The sequence below is a fragment of the Homo sapiens genome, chromosome 15 (assembly GCF_000001405.40).
Source record: "Homo sapiens chromosome 15, GRCh38.p14 Primary Assembly".
In the NCBI taxonomy this organism is placed as follows: Eukaryota; Metazoa; Chordata; class Mammalia; order Primates; family Hominidae; genus Homo; species Homo sapiens.
In genome coordinates, this window is record NC_000015.10 from 35,037,048 (window position 1) to 35,042,160 (window position 5,113).

The window sequence follows — 5,113 nt, forward strand, 5'->3', positions numbered from 1 at the left end:
TACTTGGCATGTAGCAGGCCTATAATAAATGTGTATTGAGTGCATGTGGTTAGTCAATATATGAGAATAAGAAATGTTCATGTCTATGATGCTTGTAATTCCAAAGATAAATTGGCTGACAGGCAAAACAAATCTCACAGACCAGATTTCTGTTTACCAAAACCACCTGCTTGTCAGATCAAATCATTTGCATATCATCCAAAGACAAAACTCTAAGAGATCTTAAAAAGTTCAGAAATCATCTATTGCAATTCAAGATATTTAATAAAAATTATAGCCAATACCAACTTCTTAATCTTTGATCAAATGTGTCCAAAAATAATTAGGCAAAGAAAACTTTGCAAAGAGAAAATCTACATTTAAAACTTCCAGTTTTATTCTAATATTTAATTTGAAAATGCGTAGCTTTTCTTTTTGTATCTTTTTTTTTTTTTTTTTTTTATTTTGAGACAGAGTTTCACTCTTATTGCCCAGGCTGGAGTAAAATGGCGCGACCTCAGTTCACTGCAACCTCCACCTCCCAGGTTCAAGTGATTCTCCTGCCTCAGCCTCCCAAGTACCTGGGATTACAGGCATGCGCCACCACGCATGGCTAATTTTGTATTTTTAGTAGAGACGGGGTTTCTCCATGTTGGTCAGGCTGGTCTCGAACTCCTGACCTCAGGTGATCTCCCCGCCTTGGCCTCCCAAAGTGCTGGGATTACAGGCATAAACCACCGCTCCCGGCCTTCTTTTTGTATCTTAATGGGATAAGTGATTGTGTAAAGGATTTTTAATGTTTAGAGACTGACAATTCTAAATTGTTAGAAGTTTCCTCAGTTCCTCACCCTACACCTTGCCTGGCTGTGCTGATAACGTCACATATATCCCCCTTTAGGATGGTAAATGTGTTATCGAAGGAGATTTTAAAAATTTAAACTAGTATCTGCAAGTGTAAAAAACACAAAATAAGGATGCAAAAAAGTGGGGTGTTTTTAATATTAATAAAATTAATATTTTATTAAACTATTTAAAGCTACTACCAAAAGAACTAGGTTTTCTTTTCTTTTCTTTTTTTTTTTTTTTTTGAGAGAGTCTCACTCTGTCGCCTAGGCTAGAGTATGGTGGTGCGATCTCATCTCACTGCAATCTCCATCTCCCAGGTTCAAGCAATTCTCCTGCCTCAGCCTCCCGAGTAGCTGGGATCACAGGCACCTGCCACCATGCCCGGCTAATTTTTGTATTTCTTTTTCTTTTTTTTTAATTTTTAGTAGAGACAGGGTTTCACCATGTTGGCCGGGCTGGTCTTGAACTCCTGACCTCAGGTGATCAGCCCACCTCGGCCTCCCAAAGTGCTGCGATTACAGGCGTGAGCCACTGCGCCTGGCCAGAAGTAGGTTTTCTAAGTTAAAGATTTTCTTTGAACACAATTTAAATATATTTGTCCTTGTCAGTTTATATACGAAATATTTGACTTTTCAAGTGAAAACATCTGATGGTTTTGCCAGCATAAGAGTTTCGCTGCCGACATGGGAGTATATTTCATAGAAGATGGTTGTGGCAAGAATTAGGGCCCTGGAATGATGTTTTGCTTCTGCTCTTTGCCAGCTATATCACCTTGGGAAGTTATTTGACCTTAGTCTCAGAGTTCTCATACACAAAGTGAAGATAATTAACTATTTCAACTATTTCACAAGGTTATTATGCCAATGATATTATGTGTACAAAAGCACTTGTAAACTGTAACTCATGCCATATAAATGTTAATTATGATTATGGCTTCACCCACTATAGCATTGCAACATCATGGAATATGGCAAGCCTATCCTTTTTTTTCTTTTTTGCCTGAGGGATAAAAACAATTTCTTATTTCTAAATGTGCTCCTCTGCAACACAAATAGTGAAGACTTTTTCCATTTGCTTTCTCGTTTTTCCAGTTCCCCATGTTTTTATTGTGAAATATACGTAACATAAAATTTACTATCTTAACCATTTTTAAGTATACAATTCATTGGTATTAAGTACATTCATATTATTGGGCAACCATCACCACCATCCATCTCCAGGACTCCTTTCATCTTGCAAAACGAAAACTTTACACCCATTAAACAGTAACTCCCCATTTCCTCCTCTCTAATTCCTTTTATTTTGAGGTAATTTAGAATTTGAATGCTGCTCTCACCTTATCTGTTACACAAAATTCACGGCCAAACAGAAATGTAATAGTGGTAATCTCAATTCCATCTGCTACTTCCGTTGTTTTTGGTCTTGGCAAGATAAACAGAAGATATAGTGAAGAAGTACTGTAATGTAGAAATTGCATAAGAGAAATGTGCAATTCAGCTACATGTAAAAGCCTGATTATTTTGCAAACTTTGAGGCACTGTGACTCGTCTGGAAAATATCCTAAATAGCTAGGGATGTTTACAAAGAGTTATCTGATAATGGCTTTAAAAAATGTAACTAGGTCTCCTAAATTCCCATAAACTGCAGATTATTATTATTATTATTATTATTATTATTTGAGATGGAGTCTCCCTCTGTCGCCCAGGCTGGAGTGCAGTGGCGCGATCTCGGCTCACTGCAAGCTCCGCCCCTCCAGGTTTAAGCAATTCTCTGCCTCAGCCTCCGGAGTAGCTAGGATTACAGGCGTGTGCCACCACGCCTGGCTAATTTTTTGTATTTTTAGTAGAGACGGGGTTTCAGCATCTTGGCCAGGCTGGTCTTGAACTCCTGACCTCGTGATCCACCTGCCAAGGCCTCCCAAAGTGCTGGGATTACAGGCGTGAGCCACCGCGCCTGGCCACAACTGCAGATTATTTTAAAAATTGATGTTACATACACACAATGAATAATATATAACCACTAAATATCTCATTATAGAATAATACCTAAATATATGGGAATATGGTCTGCTATAGTATTAAGGTTAAAAAAATTACAAAACAGTACATATTACTGTTTTGGTATTACTTTTTTGATATTACTTAATTGATAATTATGCCCAATTAAATAATAAAAATAAAAGAACTATACCTGTATGTATGTATGTATGTATATATATGTGTGCGTATTGTATATATACATATATATGAAAAGGCTAGAAGGTATACAGGAAAATGTTAGTGGCAATCTCTGGGTAGCAGAATTATTAGTGAGTTTTAATTTCTTCTTTGCAATTTTTTATGTTTTGCATTTTTTTCAATGGCCGTATATTACTTTTATAATCAGGACCAAAATTTAATTAAGTAAAAACTCAAGCACAGGCCACCTCCAAAGCAAACCCAGCAATGAACTCTGAAGCATTTCTGCTATGAACACTTAAGTAATTGGAAATTGGGAGGACCATAAAAAATAGTCACTTGGGGCTAGTATTGGAATGAAAAACCCAAAGAGCTTGTTTCGAATCATGTCAGCTTTCGCATTACTAATATAATTAAAGCAAATAAATCGGTTGGCCAACATGCCACTCACCCTTCAGACACACGTCACAGCTGTCTGCATGCTCACTATCTCCACCTTGCTCAATTTTTACAGTTTTTAATATGAATATCAATTCCCTTTTTCATAAACCTAACCTATAAATGCCACAACCCTCTGAGGGATTTCCCCAGGCTTCATTTTAGGCTCCACAAGAAAGGATGTAAAAGAGACTTTTCTTTTGTGAAGTGATTCTATAATTCTGTCCAATATCCATCATTTTCAAGGGCAAGTAATCATATTTAATAGATCCCAAATTACATTCTGTCAGGCAAGGATTCCCTTGATGATATTAACCAGAGCAGAGGACTGACAGTCAGAGGCCTGAAAGTAAGATACTCTTCTACAAAGGGCTTACAAGCTTTGCTTCGTAGGGGTCGACCCCACGAAGTCTGAAGTGGTGTAGGATCTGTGCCTTCATCACAATCCTCAGCCCTCCCTGAGTTACCCACAAACAATCCCTGATTTCCTGTCCTAAAATCACTTTCAAAATTAAATTACTTGGCCCACTTTTGACCCTTTCCTTTGAGGAAATTGCCATCATGAATTTGTTTTTACAGCACTACTTTAGCAAGACAGCTAGATGTATAAGAATCTACCTATGCTATCTCCATTCTAGCCCCTTGTAGGAAAACTGAAAAGGGAAAAGCTGAATGAGATGAGGAAGCTGGAGCGATGCTGTCATGGCTTGTACTGTTTATATGAATGGTACCAGGTATCAGGTTGGAAATCTTTTCCTGACAGGAAAGACTGTAAGGTCATAATGCCAGAAAAGGAGTGCAAGGACCAGTTTTCCTTTGAAAAAGGAGGACATCTTATGCTAGATTTTCATTAGAAGGGAAGTTCCTGTCATTCCTTCTTTGAGCACCTCTATTGAAGCGGCTTTTATTCGAGGCGGGCGGATCACAAGGTCAGGAGTTTGAGACCAGCCAGGCCAATATGGTGAAACCCAGTCTCTACTAAAAATACAAAAATTAGCCGGGCATGGTGGCACGCACCTGTAGTCCCAGCTACTCAGGAGGCTGAGGCAGGAGAATTGCTTGAACCCAGGGAGGCAGAGGTTGCAGTGAGCCAAGATTGTGCTACTGCACTCCAGCCTGGGCGACAGAGCAAGACTCTGTTTCAAAAAAAAAAAAAAAAAAAAAAAAGAATAAGAATAAGGGCCAGGCTAGGTGGCTCAGGCCTGTAATCCCAGCACTTTGGGAGGCCGAGATGGGAGGATCACTTGAGGTCAGGAGTTCGAGACCAGCCTAGCCAACATGGTGAAACCCTCTCTCTACTAAAAATACAAAAAAATCAGCCCAGCGTGGTGACCCACTCCTGTAGTCCCAGCTACTCGGGAGGCTGAGGCAGAAGAATCGCTTGAACTTGGGAGGCTGAGGTTGCTGTGAGTCGAGATGGTGCATTCCAGCCTGGGTGACAGAGTGAGACTCCATCTCAAAAAAAGAAAAAAAAAAGAGGATATTAAAAATAGCATGTTTAAGTTTTTTATGCTTTAGTTATTAAAACAATTCAAGCACAAATATTTATTTAAATCTGAATCTTCATTCAAAATCCAACTATAGAGCTCTTGCTATGTGCCTCACTCTTGTTGCTTTATATACATGAACTCATTTCCTTCTTACAAAGACTCTGTAACCTATAGATATAGTTA